We start from the raw sequence: 21,124 nt of genomic DNA, 5'->3' as shown, positions 1-21,124 counted from the left end.
ATGGGGCCCACCCACTCTGGGAAGGGCAACCTCCTTTCTCAGGCCATCAATTCAGATGTTAATTTCATCCAGAGACACCCTCACAGACACACCCAGAATAACGTTTAACCAAATACCTGGCACTCTATGGCCCAGTCAAATTGGCACATAAAATTGACCATTATATGCTATCACATGGATAAACCTCAGAAACATGCCATGAGAAAGACACCAGACACAAAAGGTCACATATTACATGATTCTATTTATATAAAATATCCAGGATAGGCAAATCCATAGAAACAGTGAGCAGATGAGTGGTTGCCAGGGACTGGTGGGGAGTGGGGAATGGAGAGCAACTGCTTGATGAGGGTGGAGTTTGCATTTGCGGTGGTGAAAATGTTCTGGACCTGGATAGTGGTGATAGCTGCATAGCACTGTGAGTGTACTTAATGCCACTGAATTGTACACTTTATATTGGTTAAAACGGTAAGTTTTATGTTACACATATTTTACCACAATAAAAACAGACAAATGGAAACCTATTACAGTTATCTTTGAAGACCTTGATTTTTCTCGTAAAACAGGATGTGCCTCTCCCTTGTTTCTGATTCTCAGTTCCTACCTGAGAACTGGATCTCTCAGTGGAGAAACCGTTCAGCCCCTCGGTCCCTCGGCTGCAGGGCTGCTGCTTTTTCAGAGCACTCCTCTGCTTCCTTTCCCTTCTGGCTTGGAGCTCTGTCCTGCAGGGAGAACCTGCAGTGGACGCCACTCATCCCCACTTCCTGCCCACTCGCAGCTCCTGGCTGCTCTTCCTTCATCTCTCATGTGGCTCTGCCAATACCAGTCTAAACTCTAAACTCTCACCTTTCACTTGGCATTGTAGTGGCTGGATTTCCATGGCCTGGTGCTGGGCCTCACCTGGGCTTGCCCCAACTCAGGGAGCTGGTCAGGCTGACCTTTGTCAACACGTTCATGTCCACTTCCCCACTCACCTTCAGTCTTTTCCTCCTGTAGATGCTTTCTTACTATCCTACCCTACTCCTGACTTATCTGTCCTGCCATTCTGACTCCCTGGACCTGTCAAACTGTCCACAGAGTGACAATTAGTCCTCTGCAGAAGTAGAATGAAGGCTACTCATTCAGGACTTCCTTGCCCTTCTCCAGTTGGGTCAGTCTTCCCAGAAAACATGTGGGCATTACCCATCCAACCTCTAATTAATCTTCCTAACATGTGCTTAGATTATGTTTACTCTCCTTCTCGAAAAACTTTACTGGCAATTGTAGTGACATTTTCTATGCTTTACTGCTGCTCAGCATCTTCTGAAAGCCTTTTTACATTTAGGGAAATGTGCAATTAGGAGTCCTGCCTTCCCAAGGCAGATGCTAGAAACTCTTACCCAGCATCCCTTGCAGCTGGAGCACAGGCCCAGGACCCTTGTTCTGCCCATAGACTGCTCTCGGTAGACTTAGGTTCAGAGGAGAGCACCACCAGGAAGCCACATGGAGTGGGATCCATTTTCTGGAAGTAGAGATGAGGTCTTGCGTCTAGTGCCTGGTGGTAGTAAATGTGGGCCTCCATGGAATTAGCACAGAGGGTGGATTAACTGCTTGGTTTTCAAGTTTTGTTCTTTGCCCTCCCAGAGTTCCTGTAAATTACCCAGTATCTCAATATTTTTACTCAAATTACCCCCAATTTTTCAGCTTTGTTGAGGTATAATTGACAAATAACAATAGTATATATTCTAGATATACAACATGATGTTTTGATATATGTATACATTGTGACATGATTACTGCAATCAGGTTAGTTAACCCATCTCTCACATCACATAATTACCTTTTTTTGGTGATCAGATTACTTAAGATCTACTCTCTTAGCAAATTGCAAGTACACAGTACATTATTATTAACTATAGTCACTGTGCTGTACATTGGGTCTGCAGAATTTATTCTTTGTACAAGTACACGTCTGTAATGTCTTTTAATTAATTTATTTTCTATTTAAACTCCCTGGAATGGTTGTTTGTAACTAAGAAGTCTCAAAGTGCATAGTCTTTTTTTTTTTTGTCTTCGGATTAAGAGCAAATGTCTTCCCTTGCAACTGAGGCTTTGCCTGTTGTGATGTCAGCTGTTTCTCCAGGCTTCACTCTTTTCATGTCTCTATGATACAGCCAGAGGGTGTAGCTCCATCTCTCCTGATCAAAAGGGGCTCCCCATGTCTATGCCGTGGTTCCTGCTGTCTACTCCACTTGGAACACACTCCCAGCTACACCTTTGTCCCTAATATTCTATTCATCCAGTGTTTCTTTAGAGAAACACTCTAAATTTTTTTTAAGACATATCATACTTAAGCTCCCCCACCATAAAAATGTGTCCACTTTTTCTAGAGGGCAGAGGCTCTGTCTTAGTCATCCCTCAGAATTCAGCTGTGTCTGACCAAGGAACTCACCAACTGGCTTAATAAAATAACACTCTGTGATCCCTCAAGGTGGGCAATTGTGAAAGGATCCCTGTAAAGGCCTAACACTTGTTCCTCCAACGTCACTTTCTTCTAGGGAATGTCTTCGATTGCTGCTTCCACTGCTGTCATGACCTTAGGTGGCATAAAAGTCCTTACCTTTCTACCCTAAGGATGGGCCAATTCTCTTCTTTTAGTATCTTTCAGAACAGCTGTGCTTAAGTTAAAGCTTTGTGCTAATAGCATAGAATGATTCATGAAACTCTTGGGTGAATAAATGGTTGTTCTAATCACCTGCACCTGCCCATCCTTGGGGAGCCCCTCCAGATCTGCCTCCCTATCCAGCTTCAAATGGCAAGAGTCATTTTTCATCCCCCCTACCAGGTAGGACATTCAAGCCTTGCTAAACTTGTGGGAGCTTGAGCTCAAGAGAGCCATATCAGAGAAAGGAAGACATTCTTTCCTTACCCCGGTCTAAGTCCTGTCTTCTAATCCCTCACTTCTTCCAAGTTCCACTGTTTCTCAGGACCACCAACACCAGAAGTGTCCATTACTCTAAATGTGACTCCATCTTCTGAACACAAGGATGTGGCTTTATTTTATTCCAAGACTCAAATGGGACAGATCCATTACAGTACAACTCAATTCAATATCTATGTAAGAGACACATATACACACAGCAGAGATATATAGGCAGTGCAGAGTAGATGTATGGAGAATTGAATTAACCCAAACATATCCTTCAATGTTTGTAGTTATAGGAATTTCAACTTTATACACAAATATTGTACCTTTAAAATATTTTTATAAATTAACCTAATTTTTCCCATCCCACTGGGCTTGTAGCTGGGGAAGGGCTACTTAACCTAAGCCATTCTTGGACTTTCTCTGCCCCCTCCAAGCCCAGAATTTAGATCACAGTTCCATGGTCATTCACATTCCCCAGGCATCTGATGTGGGGAGATGTCTCCCTTGTTACCAGGTCATTGGTTTACAGTTTTCTGCTGTCTACAGGGCTGTATTAGAACTACTGCCTCTCTGTATCATTTATTTATTTATTTATTTATTTATTTATTTATTTATTTATTTTTTTAGAGATAGGGTCTTTCTATGTTGTCCAGACTGGCAGTGGCTATTCACAGATGTGATCCCACTGCTGATCAGCATGGAAGTTTTGTCCTGCTCTGTTTCTGACCCGGGCTGGATCACCCCTCCATAGGCATCCTGCTGGTCCTCTGCTCCTGGGAGGTCACCATATTGATGTTGCATTTAGTGCAGACATCCCATTGGCATAGTGCACTACAGCACAGATCTCCTGGGCTCAAGCAATCCTCCTGCCCCACCTCTGGAGTAGCTTAGTCTACAGGTGCACAGCACTGTGGCTGGCTCTGCAGATTTTATTTCATGCTTGAGGCACAAAAATCTTTTACAAGGCTATCACAACTAGCTAGATTCAGAGATTGCCAGTGGGTGGAATGAAGCCCAAGATGTGTTTTTTTCACCAGCATAGTATACATTTTTTAAACAAAATTATATACTTAGGACATAAAACCCCAGGTAGACTTAATCCTTACCACTCCCGCTTGTCTCTTTACCAGCTTTACTCATTTATTTGTTCATAATACCTTCTGATTCTTTGAAGGCATTTGAACATCTGAGCTTGCAACTATTCCTCTTTGGAATCATACACCCTCTTTCTTTTCTGCCTTGGCCTGGGGTTGGCTGTATGGTCTTGGGAGGATCCTTTCTTATTCCCAATGCCTTGATTCAAATGCTCAAGTTACTCTATGAATTGCCTCTTTCTTTAACCTCCTTCGTGAACCCTCTTAGGTCTTCAAAAGATAGAGGACTTTGGAAAACAAAGTCCTAGAGATATTACTGATTAATCCCTGATTTCTTCCCTGCCACATCCCTGAAAAAATAAGGCACTTTTGGAAGTTGTGGGAGAAGACGTGGTAGAAAAAAAGAGAAGAAAACATAAATTTTGTTGCAAAATATTAGCTAACCACATCATCTAAAACAGAGAAAAACTAAAATGTGAGGAATTTTGAACACAGAAGGAAAGAAGAAAACATTATAAGTTCAAAGGGACATGGTTGGGAACCTCTGGAGTCTTACAGTATCTGTCAAATTACATGATGCAGGCAACAGTGCTTTTCATCTGTGTCCCCCATCCCAAAGCCCCTGTCCTTTCCTGTGAGCGCTTAATACCACTGAACCCCCTTCTCCTGCCAAAACAGTCCACATACTACCCTCTTGGCAGCTGTCACACACCTGGAGATAGGACACAACCTGCTCATTCTCTGAATAAGCTCCATACTTCATTGCCATGACTTTTCCCAAAGTCCCTGTCTGAAAAAAACAATGTCATTAGACATGTAAAAGGAAAAAAGAACCTTCTTCATCCTCCAGCTGGAAAGGAAGCAGGCTGCATCTAGGGGAGATGATGCAGCAGGGAAGGAGCCCTGTGCAAGGCGGGGCTCTCTTGTGCAGGGCGGCCTGGAGAGGATGACTGGGAGCCCCGTGAGACTTGTGTAGGGAATGTGGCAGGAGACAGGGGAGAAGTACAGAAACTGGGAAAAAGGATCAATGCTTTGGCCTGAAAAAAATCAATCTCTTGCTGATTGAGAGAATCAAGCGGTTTTGATCTCTCAATCCTACAGGGTACTTGTAGCAAATACAAAAGGAATAAGACACAATTCCTGTCCTCAGGGAGTTTAGTTTTTACTGGAGGAGGCCAGACACACACTCCACACCAGGCAATACCTGGATATGTTCAAGGAGTAGTGGCGTAATAAGTGGAAATTCAGAGGATGGGGAGAGAACTGGGGTCTAAGAAAGCTTTTTGGAGAAGGGGAGACTTGAGCCAAACCTTGAGGAATGGGTGGGATTTGGAATGCAGAAAGGGGAGGCCCTTAGGTGGAGGGGCCCTGTGGGCAAGGTGTGACAGTCAGGGGACAGTGAGTAGGGGGCCTGCCTGGCTGACACAAAGGAGTGAGTGGTAGAGAAAATGTTGGAAAGGAAGGAGAAATAGAAATGTGGTGAAAGCTTGACCAGTTGTGTGACTTTATATGATCTTTTGCCTTAGTGTCTTCATCCCTAAATGGCCATAATAAGCCTAGTCGTGGTTTTCATGAAGTTAAATGGGGTGCTTGATATGAAAGCTTTCTATTGTGTGGGGCTTCAAAAAAAGGTCAGTTCTTGCTTTCCCGACTGAGGCACTTGGACACTATCCTGTAGGCTATGTGGTGCCAGCAGGGTTCGTGAGCAGGAAAAGGAACTTCAAAAGCCTGGCAGAGAGAGAACGATGGAGGAGGATATGAGAGGGGCCGGTGGACAGCCAATCCAATCCTGCTGTGTTGGAGGCTGGCGAGCTCTAATGGGATATGCTGAGGTCCTGGGTGGGGTCTATTACCAGAATGGGAAGCCCTTCAGTCATCTTTCAGATCCTGGTTGAGGCCGTGAGATCGTGCTTGAAATCTTTTCCTAAAAGCTCCACAGAGCCAGCAGGCAGTAGGGGGCTGCCAACCCCCAGACCCTCAAGTGGGAGCGGACTCTGGGATAGAAAGTGAGGGACTCTACCCTCCCTTATAAATCATTATTGCCAGCCAGTCTTCAGTCTGGCTGAAATTTAGTGGGTATATTAAAAATGCATCCAGGCACAATAAAGCCTAGTTTGGGGTTTAAAATATAGCTTGTCAGATGAGTATTTAGTGGTGTGTTTTAATATGCATAAGTGCAAACCGGAATTTAATATGTAGGCTAAAGTACACATTAGCAATTTCGTAAGTGATCTCAAATTGCAGCGTACAGAAGCAACTTGATGGGAGGGTGGGTTGAGGGGGAAAAAGGGAAATAGAATACCGTTAAACTTTGGGATTATTTTTTTCTTTATTCCCCTAAGTAGGACTTTACATAATTCCCAGGTGAATTTGTTATGGAGTTGCCTTTTATTTATTTATTTCTTATTTGTTTTTGTTTTATTGAGCTAATGAATGCTAATTCGTAGAACATAAAATTAGCTTTTTTGCCATATGTAATTCATTACCATCCAGTACCATCACAGTGCTGTTCCATCATCACCTCTATCAATTTCCAACACATTTTCATCACCCCAAAAGGAAATCCTGTACCCATTATGGGGTCAATCCCCCCATTAAGCTGTCACTCCCTGTTTCCCCCTCGCTGCAGGCCCTTGCAACCACCAATCTGCTTTCTGCCTCTCTGGATCCACCTATTCTGGATCTCTCTCTCTTTCTCTCTCTTTTTGCTCTTGTTTTGTCCTATGGTTTGTATAAGTTTGTGTTTTTCTGGACTTAGGCAATGCCTGCTGCTTTGGAAGTATTCAGAAGTTGCAATGCTGGGAACCAAGATGTCAGGTTATTGAAAGGAGAGGAACTACCAGATAGAACCTGGCTTTGTAGAGCAAATAAAGGTAAGGCTAGGAGGCTTGGTCCTACCAAGATTTTCCTAAGAGGGCTAGTGACTTTTTGGTATTATAGGCTTGGCAGTCTGATGAAGCCCTTGGACTACTTAGAATAATGTTTTGAAGAAACTAAAGCATACAGATTACCAAGGAAACCAGTTATGTTAAGATGCAGCTTTAAAATATTAAAGTATCTGGTGATCAAGTAATATATATGCTTCTTTATTAACACATTGAATAACAAGATCTAGCTTGGGTCTACTAACACTGTAATTTTAAAGCAGTGAAAGGTGTAAATTATGTTTTGAGATCTGCAACACTGTAACATGATATGAAAATATCTGATTTCTACTGGTAGCAAATTCATGGGAATTGCTAATAATACTGTGGTTTGTTACCAACATTCATAAATAAGCAACCATGAATGGAAGTTAGTACAAACAAAGATATAATTTTTGCCCATCTGAGTTTATACACAGACTTATTAAGAACTCCTGCTCTGGGATCAATTGTTTCTAATCCATTTTCAGCCATAGACCCCTTTGAGAATCTGATCAAAGCTGCCTGTAGACCATCTCACTGGGAAAATAAACTCATCAGCAGATATAAAAATTATATCTTATCTGTTGAACCCTGACACCCACCCATGAACCATGTCCAAGTCTCTGGACCTCAGATTAAGAACTTCAGTTTTAGATGTACTATCAGCAAAAAGCACTGTCCCATTTAGAATTCTTTGCCTGTAAATAACAGAAATGGACTTTGGAACCATGTGGTTTTAGAGGCTTTTTGTAGCAGAAGCTCTGGACAGTCTTGTCTACATCCCATGCCTGGAATGAGTAAGCTCCATCTGTGGCCAGGCCTTTGACGTTCTGGTCACTGTTGACACATCTGAATAGTCTAGCTTGGGTAGGGTGTCCCTCAATCCCTTCACTAGGGGAAAGTTGCACACCTTGATGAAATAACCCAGCAGGCTGTATATAATAAGGAAGAATAATTTCCTAAAAGGAATTTGAGGCACTATTACAAAAAAAAAATTAAATTGATGTGGACATGAGGTAGGCAAAAGAGAAAACAAAGTCCTGTTAAAAGTAATAATGTGGGCCAGGTGCGGTGGCTCACGCCTGTAATCCCAGCACTTTGGGAGGCTGAGGCAGGTGGATCACCTGAGGTTAGGACTTTGGGACCAGCCTAAACGACATGGTGAAACCCTGTCTCTACTAAAAATACAAAAATTAGCCGGGCTTGTTAGCGGGTGCCTGTAATCCCAGCTACTCAGGAGGCTGAGGCAGGAGAATCGCTTGAACCCGGGAGACAGAGGTTGCAGTGAGCCGAGATCACGCCATTGTACTACAGCCTGGGGAACAGATCGAGACTCTGTCTCAAAAATAATAATAATAATAATAATAATAATAATAATAATAATAATAACGTGGCTGGGCACGGTGGCCTACGCCTGTAATCCCAGCACTTTGGGAGGCCGAGGTGGGTGGATCACCTGAGGCTGGGAGTTTGAAACCAGCCTGGCCAACAGGGTGAAACCCCATCTCTACTAAAAATACAAAAATTAGCTGGCTGTGGTGGTGCATGCCTGTAATCCCAATTACTTGGAAGGCTTGAACCCTGGAGGAGGAGATTGCAGTGAGCCGAGATTGTGCCACTGCACTTCAGCCTGAGCGACAGAGTGAAACTGTGTCTCAAAAAAAAAAAAAAAAAAAAAAGTAGTGATGAGTACTGACTTTTTTTTAAATTATAAAACATACTTTTTGGAAACATTTTAGTGTTTCCAAAGTCAGAATATGGCTCTATGGCTCTCAATATATGTAAACATTGAAAGCAGCCATTTTTCACCCCTCAAAAAGTAAACTGTTGTTCAATGACTGTTGCATCTTAGAGTTGAGGAGTCTCAGAACCTAGGAATTGTGTCCTTAACAAAGTCAATCAAAGCGATACCAGATGGATTCCTTCAAGTTTCAGGAAGTACTTCTACACCAATGCTCTTCATACCATTTTCTTTCCATCTCTGCACTTCTAAATCATGCTTACTTTGCCTAATTTGGCTCTTATTTCACATCAGATGTTTAGTACACTACTAAATGCTGAAAATTCAATCCCATTAAACAGGTGTTTGTTGAATGGTGGCTATGAATCAAGTTCTCTTGTAGACACTATGAGCATTAAAAAAGGAGAGTTAGATAGAGCCATCCGCTCTCCAGGCACTGACAGTTTAGGTGCAGAGACTGCATATGCACAGGAACTAGCAAAATACTCACCTGGAGTAAAATACTCACCTAAGTGCTGCAGCTGAGGGGAGTCAGGAATTCAGAGAGCAGAGTGTGGGTTGGATAGAGAAGGAAGCCCCTGTGGAAGAAGCTGGGGACTCCCTGTCTTGCCTCTGCACCTCTGGGGAGACAGGGCCCCAAGACTCCTCTCTGAAAGCAATGATGCACCGAGAAGTTGCACTTCTTGTCCTGATCATTGTCCGAGACATAGAGAAGCCTTGGGTGAGGAGGACCACGTCCCCAGGAGGTTCCTCACTGGGCCAATACCTGTTCATCTCTTTGGTCAAACTTTCAGATCACTTCCAGAAAGGTCTTCTCTGACCTTTCAATATAAAACTTGTTCTCTTTATAAAACTTTCTCATAGAACCTTGTTCTTTCTCTTCAGCACGCTTAACATCATTTGTAAAATTTGTAATTATATACATTTTTTCTCTCCACTGATCTGTGAGTTTCTCTAGGGAAGGAAAGGAGTATATGTCTTTTTTGCTTTTATATTCACACAACTCGATAAATTGCCTGCATGTACTAGGTGTTCCGTAAATACATGTGAAGTGATTGAAGAGTTAAGTATAGACTAGAAACGTTCTCATTGCTTTCTGATAAAGATGAAGCTCCCTTGGGGAAAAAGACATAGTTGATAGGAAACACCTTTGATGTTAAAAAATGTGCCAGACCAAAAGGTACAGCTGGTATATGAGTCACTAATGAAGATCTTGTGGTTATAGGTTTGAAAGTTAAGGTAATTAAGTGTTATTTTTTACTTTGGGATTTAAAAATGATAGTGGGCTATTTACAGCCTATGGAATAAAAGTGGAGCTCCCCTGCTCCCTTCTAAACACACCAACAGTTCCATTTTTGTTTTTTCTTCTCTGCCACATACTTTCCCTGAAAAAATAAAATAAAAATAAAAATAAAAAAAATTCAGGGTCTCACTGTCACCCAGGCTGGAGTGCAATGGTGCGATAACAGCTCACTGTAGCCTCAAATTCCTGAGCTCAAGTGCTCCTCCTGCCTCAGCCCCCCAAGTAGCTGGGACTACCAGGGTGTGCCACCACGCCTGGCTATTTTTATTTTTTAATTTTTTAAAATTTTTTGTAGAGATGCGGTTTCACCATGTTGCCCAGGCTGATCTCGAACTCCTGAGCTCAAGCGGTCCTCCTACCTCAGTCTCCCAAATTGTTGGGATTACAGGCATGAGGCACCATGCCTGGCCGAGTTCCACCTTTAATGATACACCCTGGGGAGTTGTGATTTTAGTGTGGTCTTACTTTCTCAAGCAAAACCCCCCAAAATTCTGAAAGGAGTTAGAAGAGCATGAAGACAGGCATGTTAATGACGCTCTTATTTCTTTTGAAATAGAAACTTGACATTTGCCAGCAGGGAGAAAGTTGTGGAGAAATTTAAAGGGTTCACTGGTGTTCTTGGCTTGAGAGCATGCTTTGGTTGCCGGCAGCAGGGGTAGAGTAGGAATTCCTTCCCATTCTTTAGCTAGAGACTTAAATTTCAGAAAACAGGGCAGTAAGCATGAAGATTTGGGTTGAACTTTTCAGTAGCGCTCTGGTGCTTTTTTCAAACGAAAGCAGAGATCTTAAAACTTTTCCTTATATGGGATTTCACAGCTTTATGAAAATGGGCATGCTTACTTAATTTCCAAGAATAGGTATAATTTTGTTTGAAGTCTTTAAAAGAATTACTACCAGTGAGAAAAAGACATTTTTATTATAACACTTGATACTTACATAAATGTACAGGACTTCAAGCTCTACGGCTTCTTAAATCCAAGAAGCTGGTAGTTTTCCCTCTTAACTTAGGGAGGGTAAGTTTTACCTCTTGGCCAAACATGATGGTTTGTGTCTGTAATCACAGCACTTCGGGAGGCTGAGGTGGAAGGATCACTTGAGCCCAGGAGTTCAAGAACAGCCTGGGCAACATAGTGAGACCTTGTCTCAACATAAAAAAAAAAAAAATAAATAAATTAGTTAAGCATGGTGGTGCATGCCTGTGGTCCAAGCTACTGGGGAGGCTGAGGCAGGAGGATCGTTTGAGCCCAGGAGGTTGAAGCTGCAGTGAGATGTGATTGTGCCACTGCACTCCAGCCTGGGCAACAGAGTGAGACCCTGACTCAAAAAAATTTTTTTTACCTCTTTCCTAGTTCTAGAAAAGTCTTTCCATAATGTTGGCTTCTGGGAATTCATATCAGATTTAACTTCAGGTAACACCAATCAAGCACCTGAACTATGACCAAAGAGGTTAAGGTTAATTAAGTATTTGAACTTTGTATTTAACCAGGCTTGGGGTGAATTGCTTAAACGTTCTAAGTCTTATTTTCCTTCTTTGTAAAACAGGGATTAAGAACAATATCTCCTCTTAGGGTTAAGTAGCTCCCCTACGGTGGAAGAGTGTTGGGGACACCCAAGGACTCTCCCTGCCATAAGTACACACACATGCATGTGAGTGTACACACACACTCATGGCCACTGACCATAAGGCAGGGGAATAGAGTCTCAGGGCAGGAAAACTAAGGACTTCCTAGAAGCAAATCAAACGGAAAAACCCCAACTTTCTACGACCAAGTAAATAACTCTGTAACTCTACTTCAGCTATGACAGGAAATAACCTCTTCATACGCATAGAGTGTACACCAAATAAATAACTTTGCAACTTCACTTCAGCCTCTTTATTTATGCAGGGTATACACCAAGTAACCAGTGGGAAACCTCTAGAGGGTATTTAAGCCCCAGAAAATTCTGTACCCAGGGCCCTTGAGCCACCTGCTTGAGGCTGTTCCCACCCTGTAGAGTTTCATTTTCAATAAATTTCTGCTTTTGTTGCTTCACTCTTTCCTTGCTTTGTTTGTGTGTTTTCTCCAGTTCTTTGTTCAAATGTTCGAAATGCCAAGAACCTGGACCCTCCACTGGTAACAACCAGACCTCAAGTCCAGGTCTTCCTTGTGGACAGGACAGAACCAAGGCCCAGCTCCCTCCTGACCCACAGCCACAGATGTGATTCTGGCAGTGAAGTCCCCTTAACCCCATGTTTTAACCACTGGAGTTAAATGACTGCCAAGTAGGTATGAGGCAGAAAAGGAAACAGGCTACATGATTAAAACATGAGAAACAACAAAACAACAACAGTTGATTTTCTGATGGGTCTGAAGCCTTTGCAGGGATTGTCCAGGTCTCTGAGATTATAAAGTGAGAATTTCTGAGGCTTTCAGATTTCATAGACCAAAACCATTACAAAAACATTTTGGGAGTGGGAATGGAAACTGAGGCTGTCAACTTTTTATTTTGCCAAAAAATGACCAAAACAAAAAACCCACATCCAAATGATTACAAATATAATAATCATTGATACAAGAATTGCATACATTTAGCTTTACATTGCTCTGATTACTCTCATTTTACCTCTGAGTTGTGAAAAACCTGTCTGTGGATTTGCAGCCATCGGCAGATAACTCTGGAACTTCTGCTACAGAGAATGCACAGCCAGGCATGAACAGGGGCCAAGGGAGTAGGTTTATGAACATACATTCCTGACCTCAGCTCCTGGCAGCTGCAGTCAGGCAGCAGTTTTGAGGGTTCCTACTTCTGCAAACATTCTGAGACATGCAGACCACCATTCTAGGCCTCCCCCTCTTACTTCATTACTTGCATAATTTATCCCTCAAGGACAGTACAGCATAGCACAACACATGGCTTATCTCTGATGCACAAGGTTGTGTTTCTTCATTTATCCTGCACACGAGTCTTTGTCCTCCCCACAGCATCACAAAGGGACCCAGCAGAGAGAATCTTCCACAGCCTACACTCATTATATTCTCTTTGTCTTTTCTCCTTCTTCCTACAAAGTTAATATCACATGGATTAAGTCAGAAGACTCACAAGGCTTATATTATTCATTCATTTGTTTGCTCATTTATTGATTGATTTAATACATATTTATTGAGTTCCTGTATGCACCAGGCTCCATGCTAGGTATTGAAGGTATAGTAGTGGGCAAGCAAACGCAGTCCCTTTTCTCGTGGAGGGAGAATTCGAGAGACACAAACACATGAGAATATGTAACTATAAAAATATGATGAGAACAGTGAAAAAAACAAGGAGTGTCATGAAAGCGTGCAACAGATGGGGTGGTTAAGAAAAGCTTCTCTGAGAAGACGACATTTAAGGCAAGGCCCGAGAGATTATGTAGTGGACATTCACTGGTTTTGTTATCCTTGATCAACTTTCCCTTCTTTGGTAACAATGCCCTGATGATTATGTTTGGAGGCTTTCATTCAAGGTGTCCTGTTCTTCTCTGGCTGAGGGTAGGCATGTGGCCAAGCTAACCAAGGCTGACGTTCTTCTAGGGTTTGGAATCTTGAGTGGAGTGATGCAAAAACAGAAAAACCAGAGTGGCTTGTTCCACTGGTTGAGCCTCAACAAGGTGTCTGTTAGGAATCAAATCTCCATAAGATTCCTGAGCTGTTTGGTCTTTGAGCTTTCCAAAACTTGGCTGAAGAGACTGAGAGCTACCTCTATGTGCACCAAATTTTTTTGTTTACATTATTTCCCAAATAATGTACCACAGAACTCTAATGGGTTCTGGAAAGCGGGATTTAGCAAAGTGAAGAGTTTGGGAAAGAGCACGTCAGTGGAAGGAACAGCATGTGGAAGGGGCTTTCTGTGAAGAAGAGAAGAGCTTGCTGGTTTGGGGAACAGAAAGAAAGCCAGTTGGGCAAAGTGTGCTGAGTGAGGGGCAGAACAGTACCAATATCTCTGTAGGGGCAAGCTGCACCAGACCTCATGGGGCCATGTATAATCGTTTAGATTTTATCACCAGCACATAGGAAAGTTACAGACATATTTTGAGCATGGGAAGAATATTTTAAATAGCAAAAATGTCACAAAGGAAAAACAGAAGAGTTCAACTAACAGCGTAAAGAACTGTGAATTGGTCATCCCAGTTCTGCTCTGAGCCAGCTCCAGGACCTTGGATATTTGTAAGGCTCTGATGATTTCTCTTAGCCCCAGTTTTCTCATCTGTAAAATGAGGTGGTGGGTTAGATGATCTCTAACTCCATCTCTGATGTTTCGTGATCTATGATAAAACCATGCCAATAAATGTAATTGTCATTAAGGAGCTTACAATCAAGTGGGAGAGATAAACACACCTAACCTCTATGATACCTGCTGTTGATGTTCCAGGGAGTTCTAACGTTTAAAGCTTTTGGTAGCTTACAAGCTGATTTTGCCAGCCCATTGTTATGTTGACTGCCAAAGGATTTTAAACAGTACTAGGCTCAGTAACCAATTCAATGAAGAACTTTCAAAGAGGGTATTTACATGAAGTGTGATGCTCTGCTAAGCTTAGATTTAGTGACTTCAACTGAATGCTTCATAACAGAAAACGCTAGCAAGAGTACTGATTCTTGGGTGAATTTCATCTAGAACTTGTAACTGCAGGAGTGCCTGTGAGTGATCTGTGTGTCAGTTATCTATTACTGTATAACAAACCACCCTAACACTTAGTGATTTGAAACAACCACCATTTTATTTCTCACAATTCCTGGGTTGGCTGGACTATTTTTGGCTGGCTTTCCCTGGAGCTCACTCATGTGGCTGAGAGCTGGTGGGCTGCATAGCTGGGACAGCAAGGCTTTCTCTTCTCAGGGTCTTTCCTCTTCAAGGAGTTGGACCAGGTTTCTTCATGGCAGTCTCAGGATAGCATTTCAAGAAAGCAAGGAGCAAGGCACAAGTGCACATCGAAAGCCCCTGCTTGTGTCATATTTGTTCATGTCCCAGTAGCTAAAGGAAGTCACAAGGCCAACTCCAGGGTCAACGTGGGAGGGAGCTACAGAAGGACAACTCAGTAGGGGTGATTCATTAGAAGCCATTAGTGTAAAATGTGTAAACTTTTCCTCTGAGACTTGCATTGCAAGATACACAACTCTAACCTATAAAGGATGACACTTTCTTTTTCTTTTCTCTCTCTCTCTCTTTTTTTTTTTTTTTTTTTTTGAGACAGAGTTTCACTCTTGTTGCCCAGGCTGGAGTGCAGTGGCATGATCTCAGCTCACTACAACCTCCGCCTTCTGGGTTCAGGTGATTCTCCTGCCTCAGGCCTCCCAAGTAGCTGGGATTATAGGTGCCTGCCACCACGCCCAGCTAGTTTTTGTATTTTCAGTAGAGACGGGGTTCATCGTGTTGGCCAGGTTGATCCCGAACTCCTGACCTCAGGTGATCCACCCACCTCGGCCTCCCAAAGTGCAGGGATTACAGGGGTAAGCCACCACGCCCAGCCAAGGATGGCACTTTCACAGACACAATATCTATGTTATTACTACTATAAGGGAGCATGTGGAGTCACCTTATTAAGGGACTGAGTCCTACATCAGTGGCTCTGCTTGCCTCATAAAATTATTCATTAATTTTTAGCAGTGGCCTTGGGAAGTTGTGTACATAATATTTAGAGGAAAATGGCATTTACAATGATAATGAATTAAAGCAATTCACACGGCAGTACCACTGCCCCAATTTAAACCTTGAGGCTTGCTAATTTCATATTTAGCTGCATCCCATATGCTCCCAATCCCTCTGCCCTAGTGTGGAGCTACAGCTCAAACTCCTTTGAAGGTAGGAAACTTACCTCACACACGCGTGTTCCCCTCATTCTTTCAGCGCATAGAACACTAAAAAGATGCTCCTTAAATACATGCTAAATAAACTGATCAATAGTTGCCTTTTATTAAATATCTTTGTGTTTCAGGTATTTCCTTATTTCCTTCACAGACCGGATCATGAATGATCTCCCAATGTGACAAGGTCTTATTCTCCACAGTTTACCGTTGAGGGGACTGAGGTGCAGAAAGCCCAAGGTGTATGCAGCCCAATCCCCTCTGATCCCACTCTACTGCATTGCTGCCTTTTGTACGCAGCAGGAAGGACACTTCCTGTAAAAATGAAAAAAAAAGCCTTAAGTTGTTTGAGAGAGGGTCAGGAAGAAAACAGGAAGAGCCAGTAGACTGCAGGTGCTTTCAAAGGGCTCCCTGTCTTTGACATCCCTAAAATAAAAACTTGTTAATTAAGAGATTGGCCACAGAAATCCAGGTGGAAAACCTGCAGAAGAGTGGGTTCCACAATTCTTCAAAACAGAACAAAAAAACCCCAAGACTTGTTATATTTTTACCGGTGGAGGGGAAGAGGTTACAGGAGTGGCCTTGCTCCCCGGGCTGGCCTTGCTGAGCAGGTGACAATACCACACATATAAAGGTTTTAAGGTGAAAAGGTAGTCAATATTTTACATTTCGAAGATAGTTTTTAAAATCACCTACTGCATCAGTAGTAATACAACAATAACTACCATTTACATACCACCGCACACATCGGGGCTGCGTAAAGAACTTTATAGTGCACCATCTCAATTAATTCTCACAACTCTGTGAAGTAGGTTTTATTATTCTTAATTTATAGACGTGTTCACTGTGGGCCAGGGAGATGAGCTTTCCCGCGATTGCCCAGCTTTTAAGAGGTAGATCTCAAACCTAAACGTGTTTGACCAAAAGCCCTGAATAACATTTAGCCGTGGGCCTCTTGCGGATTTGGCGCTGGTCCGAGGTGGGGAATTGTGAATCTCATTTATTTATGCTGAGCTGCGCACACATATGCACGTGTAAGTTACAAAAAACAAATCCAGGTCAGGATCTCTGTCCGCTTGAGGTTTCAAAGCCTACTTGGGTAGACAGCGGTAAAAGTCTCAACTCATTCATCTACTCGTTTGCTCTCTTCACAAGTATTTATTGCGCACTTCAGTATTCCAGACAGGGCGCTAACCTTGCCCTGGAGGAGAGAATGGTGAACACAACAGACATGGCGTTTGCCTCCAACTATCCCCTTTCCGATTCTGCTATCTCACGGGCGAGGCGTTCAAAGAAGCAGGAAATATATCAACAAGGGGGTGACTTAAGCACCCGCTGCGCGGGAGCCGGAGGAAGCGCGCTGAGCCTGCAGAGGTGGTCAGGGCGAACTTCCTGGAGGCAGCGGCAGCAGCAGGCCGGGCGAGAACCCAGGTCGCTCGGAAGCGACAGTCTGAGCCGGGAACGGGGAAGAGGGGGCGGGAGCCGAGGCCCGGGCGGGGGCAGCCAGCGAGTTAGGGTTAGGACGGGAGGATTCGGCTTCCCGGCGGCAGAGGGCGCCTGGCGCTGCGGTCTGGCGCGCCAGAGTCGCCCGCGCGGGCGCCGAGAGGAGAGGCGAGGCGGGGAGCGCAAGCGGCGGCGGCCACTGCCACGTATTCCCGGCAGTGGTGGCGGCGGCGGCGGCGGCGCCCGCGGGCAGGTGGGCTGGGAGCGGCGCGGCGGCGGCGGCGGCGGGGCGGGCGAGCCGGCGGGCGGGCGCGGGGCACGGGGCACCGGGCACCGGGCGGGGGTGCGGCGCCGGGACAGTACGGTTCCCGCCACGCCGGCTCCGCCTCCGCGCAGTGCTGCTGACCCAGGCCTGGGCGCCCGGCGGGTCCCGAGCGCAACTCGTGCGGGCGGGGTTGGGGGCCCGAGGGACTCGAGCTCGCCTGCCCGTCGCGGCTCGAGACGCTGCATCCCGGTTGCTGCGGGGCGGGGGCTGGGAAAAGTTGGGGCGGACCGCGAGCCCGCGGGGCCGGGCGGGAAGTGCGGGTGCGGGGCGGACTCAGGGGCCGGGGGACGCAGTGCAAAGGGCTTGGGCCGGGGCGGCCGGGAGGGCCCCGTATGGGAAGGTGGGAAACGCGGGTCCTTTGAGGACGCCGAGAAAGGGGTGCGCTCAGGGTCTCTGGGAGTGGACAAGAGTCCGGCGGCGGACCTTGCGGGTGAGAAGGGTCGGCGCCTGGGGGTCGGGGAGTAGAGGTGAGGCGGGGGCGGGATAGAGCCTTCCTCCTCCCCCGTTCTTTCGGGACCGACCCTGAGACCCGGGGCAGGCTCCGAGCTGGGTACGCCTCTGGCATCTGAAGACCCAGTGGGGAGTTCCTGTACGGGGTGGGTGGAGGAGGGAGCTGAGCGTTGCTTCCTCTGCTGCTGGGGCCGACTACCGCCCCTCCCCAGCGGCCAGATTCACCTCAGACTGCAGTGCTTTTGCCCTGAGGAAGTTGAGGAGGGACAGCTGAGCGGATGAGATGTTTGGGGTGTTCCAAGATGAGTGGGATTAGGCTGCATGATATCATAACTATCTCCGGGAGCTGTCAGAAAACACTCCCATGTCCTCATACACCCACCCATCCACTCATCCAGTCAGTACTGCCAAGCTCCAGGCTCCCTTGCTCTTTAAGTGACACCTCTAGATCCCCAGAGCCCAACAGCGCATCTGCTCACAGCCTCGAGGGTGGCAAGGGTGGAAGACATGGCCTGCTAGTGTCTGCGTAGGTTGGTGCTTTCAGAAACAAGTGGTTCTGGAGGTGCTGGATGCTTTATTAGAACAACCTGTGTGGAGCCCGTTGACAATGCAGATGACTCATGTTGGCTTTTTTTTTTTCCCCTTTACAAATAAACTTTGTATTCAAGACACCAGTATGCCTGGTCATTTGCAGCAGTGATACGGCAAGAGACCCATAGTGGGCTTCTTGAGCCCTTATTCTCGTCCTAGATGTGTTAGCAAGAAGTTTGACCTTGGATGAGTCACTTGCTCTCTCTGGACTTCTGTTTTCTTATCTGTCACATGGGGTATAAAGAGAGAGCTCGACAGTGTGATGTAGACAGGAGTAGGTTTCTGAGGGACACAGTGAAATCTTTTTTCTTGTAAGGCTGGATCAGCCACAGAAAATAAGCCTTAGCCTGTTCTTATAAAGAAATTAGCTTAGATTTAAAATAAAATATGAGAAGAAATATTGCAAAAAGCAAAACAACAAAAAACTAATAGTAGTTGGTACTCGATTTACAACATGAATACTGTTCTTATGCTTGCAGTTAGTGTACTTGGTTGTCCAGCTATCTACTATAAAGTTGCTCATTGTGCTTAGAAAGTGTGTATTTCACCTGTGGACCCGAATTTTTTCTTATTGTTTAATCTTCAAGCTTGGAGTGGACGCTCAAGCTTGGAGTTGGATTGGTCCTGCTGGGGTTTGTCTGAAGAACATCCTCAGGGTCTCTCATTGCATAATATTATAGGTTTCCTTCTGTCTGACTGATGCTGGGGTCCTTGTACAACTATGCTTCTGCCATCTTTTCCATTCTGGCTTGAGAAGTGGTGAGCTGGTTCCTCTTGCCTCTGGCATGCCCAGACTTCTCATTTCTTTTCAGATGAGTGTAGTAAAAGGCAAGCAGTGAGTTAGAGGCAGCACATTAAAAATTGCTCCAGGCAATCATCTGTGTCCCCTCCACCCCGCTCCTGTCCCCTAGACCCCCTGGGCAACTTCTCACTAGAGCTTCCTGGTCATAAGCTGGCCTTGACATTTTGGGTGCTGAGGGCCATCACAGCATTGAAGTGACTTGGCCAGGGTCACACCACACATTAATGATCAAGCCATGGTGCTGGAAGAAGAGGAATTTTTTTTGTGTGTGTATTTTGTCATAACTGAATGTTCCTGTTCTTGTCCATTAGTAGCTTTCAAAATCCATATTGGGTTTGACCACATCATTTTCAGTAATCCTTTTTTGTCAGCTTTTTGGAAGCTGCAGTTAGTGGTTCTCTCTGAGTTTGAGGTAGTGGTATTTTATTATTAAACAATTTTTTCCAAATATTTTTTAAACTACTTTCCTTTTCAGACCAGATGAGGTAGTGTTAAAAATGATATCTTCTCCAACAAGTAAAGGCTTGATTAATTAGGTTGAGTCTTTAAAATATCTAGTGTTTGTGTGTGTATAAATTTTACTTTAATTGAGAAGTATTGATAAAAATCATAATCGTCACCATTTGAGCCCCTGCCATTGAGCAGGCATTGTGAGGTAGGAGTGAGCATCATTTTACAGGAGAGAAAACAAAGCCAAGAGATGGCACGACTCTGGTACAGCTGTCGTGCATAAGTTACTGATGATCTTTCAATCCATGTACCATTTTGTTAACAGTGGAAAAGGAATTCTCAGCTATCCTACAGGGTTGTGCTAGTTAAATGAGATACTGTATGTGAAGAGCAACAAGTAAACTCTTAACGGGCTCCCTAACCCAGCACATTTTAACATAAACACTTGTAGACTCTGGAAGCAGTGTGGTGAAGTGGTTAAGTTCAAGCGTCTTGGGAGTCTGGCAGGCCTGGGTGTAAATACTGAACCTGCTGCCTGACCTCTCTGAGCCTGGTTTCCACATGTGTAAAATCAGGATAATACTGTCTGTCTTATATTCAAGAAATGTACCCACTAATTGCAGTGGGTGCTGAGTAAAGATTGGCATCCACTCCTTTCCCTTGCACACAGGTACTTGGGTCAATGGGATTGAGTAAGTCTTTCAGCAGTTGTCCTCAGGGGGAAAAGGCTTAAAGTACTTTTTGTACTTATCAATGATTCTTCTAGCCTTTTTGCCTTCCCACCCTAAGCCCCAGCACGCGCAATGAATATTCCAGGGCCTGTGATTGTCTTGTCCAAGGGAATTGAAAAAATCGTAAGCCAGAAAGGACAGGTCTTTGATAGAAAGTTGAAAATGGATGTAGCTGGTTTCCCTTTGCCCATTTTGTGGCCTTCCTCCTTTTTTTTTTTTTTAAATTAATTTTGTTGGACAGGGAAAAGATACAGAATTCAGGGGGTTCTAGCTGGAAGGGGGCCCTGGAAGAGCCTATAGTATAGGGCAGCTAGAGAGAGGAGTGGGCTGGCTGACGGTCAAAGCTAGTTTGGTGTGGGGGAAATTTCTGTTAGATGCAGGATTTGGCTTAATATGGGACCAATTTCCATCTAGTCCTTTAAGGCCCTCTTTTGGGACTCTGAAGTTTTTGTGCTCCAGGCAGATTTTGACTGGTTGTGGTGGCATCACAAATGAGTTTCCATAGTAAATTGTATGCTGAAAGGAAATTAAATTCCAAGAGGGTGTTTGTTGTGACTGATGCCA

At 44.5% G+C, this 21,124-nt stretch overlaps 1 protein-coding gene and 1 pseudogene across 3 annotated transcripts in view, besides 3 other annotated features; one reads left to right on the top strand and one right to left on the bottom strand.

Annotated features, from left to right (window-relative positions):
- On the bottom strand, positions 3,534 to 3,827 carry RN7SL223P (RNA, 7SL, cytoplasmic 223, pseudogene; annotated as a pseudogene).
- SMCO4 (single-pass membrane protein with coiled-coil domains 4) overlaps positions 6,761 to 21,124 on the top strand; it is a 75,508-nt gene continuing 61,144 nt past the window's right edge. For 2 of the 3 annotated variants that reach the window (XM_011542909.1, XM_011542907.1), the window contains exon 1: positions 6,761 to 6,875. In XM_011542909.1, coding sequence (XP_011541211.1) covers positions 6,764 to 6,875 — 112 coding nt within the window. In that variant the 5' untranslated portion in view covers positions 6,761 to 6,763. Of the gene's footprint in view, positions 6,876 to 17,348; positions 17,465 to 21,124 lie in introns of those variants that run through there. The other variant, NM_020179.3, reaches the window with a different exon arrangement.
- Positions 17,149 to 17,278: a silencer, noted in NCBI's record as "silent region_3838". NCBI's record gives its function as "represses an Ori minimal core promoter by ATAC-STARR-seq in GM12878 lymphoblastoid cells {active_cell/tissue: GM12878}" and the evidence as "EXISTENCE:reporter gene assay evidence [ECO:0000049][PMID:35858748]".
- Positions 17,439 to 17,488: a silencer, noted in NCBI's record as "silent region_3837". NCBI's record gives its function as "represses an Ori minimal core promoter by ATAC-STARR-seq in GM12878 lymphoblastoid cells {active_cell/tissue: GM12878}" and the evidence as "EXISTENCE:reporter gene assay evidence [ECO:0000049][PMID:35858748]".
- Positions 17,619 to 17,858: a silencer, noted in NCBI's record as "silent region_3836". NCBI's record gives its function as "represses an Ori minimal core promoter by ATAC-STARR-seq in GM12878 lymphoblastoid cells {active_cell/tissue: GM12878}" and the evidence as "EXISTENCE:reporter gene assay evidence [ECO:0000049][PMID:35858748]".

Source organism: Homo sapiens, chromosome 11 (assembly GCF_000001405.40).
Source record: "Homo sapiens chromosome 11, GRCh38.p14 Primary Assembly".
Classification (NCBI taxonomy): domain Eukaryota; kingdom Metazoa; phylum Chordata; class Mammalia; order Primates; family Hominidae; genus Homo; species Homo sapiens.
This window is presented reverse-complemented; position numbering and strand designations above follow the sequence as displayed.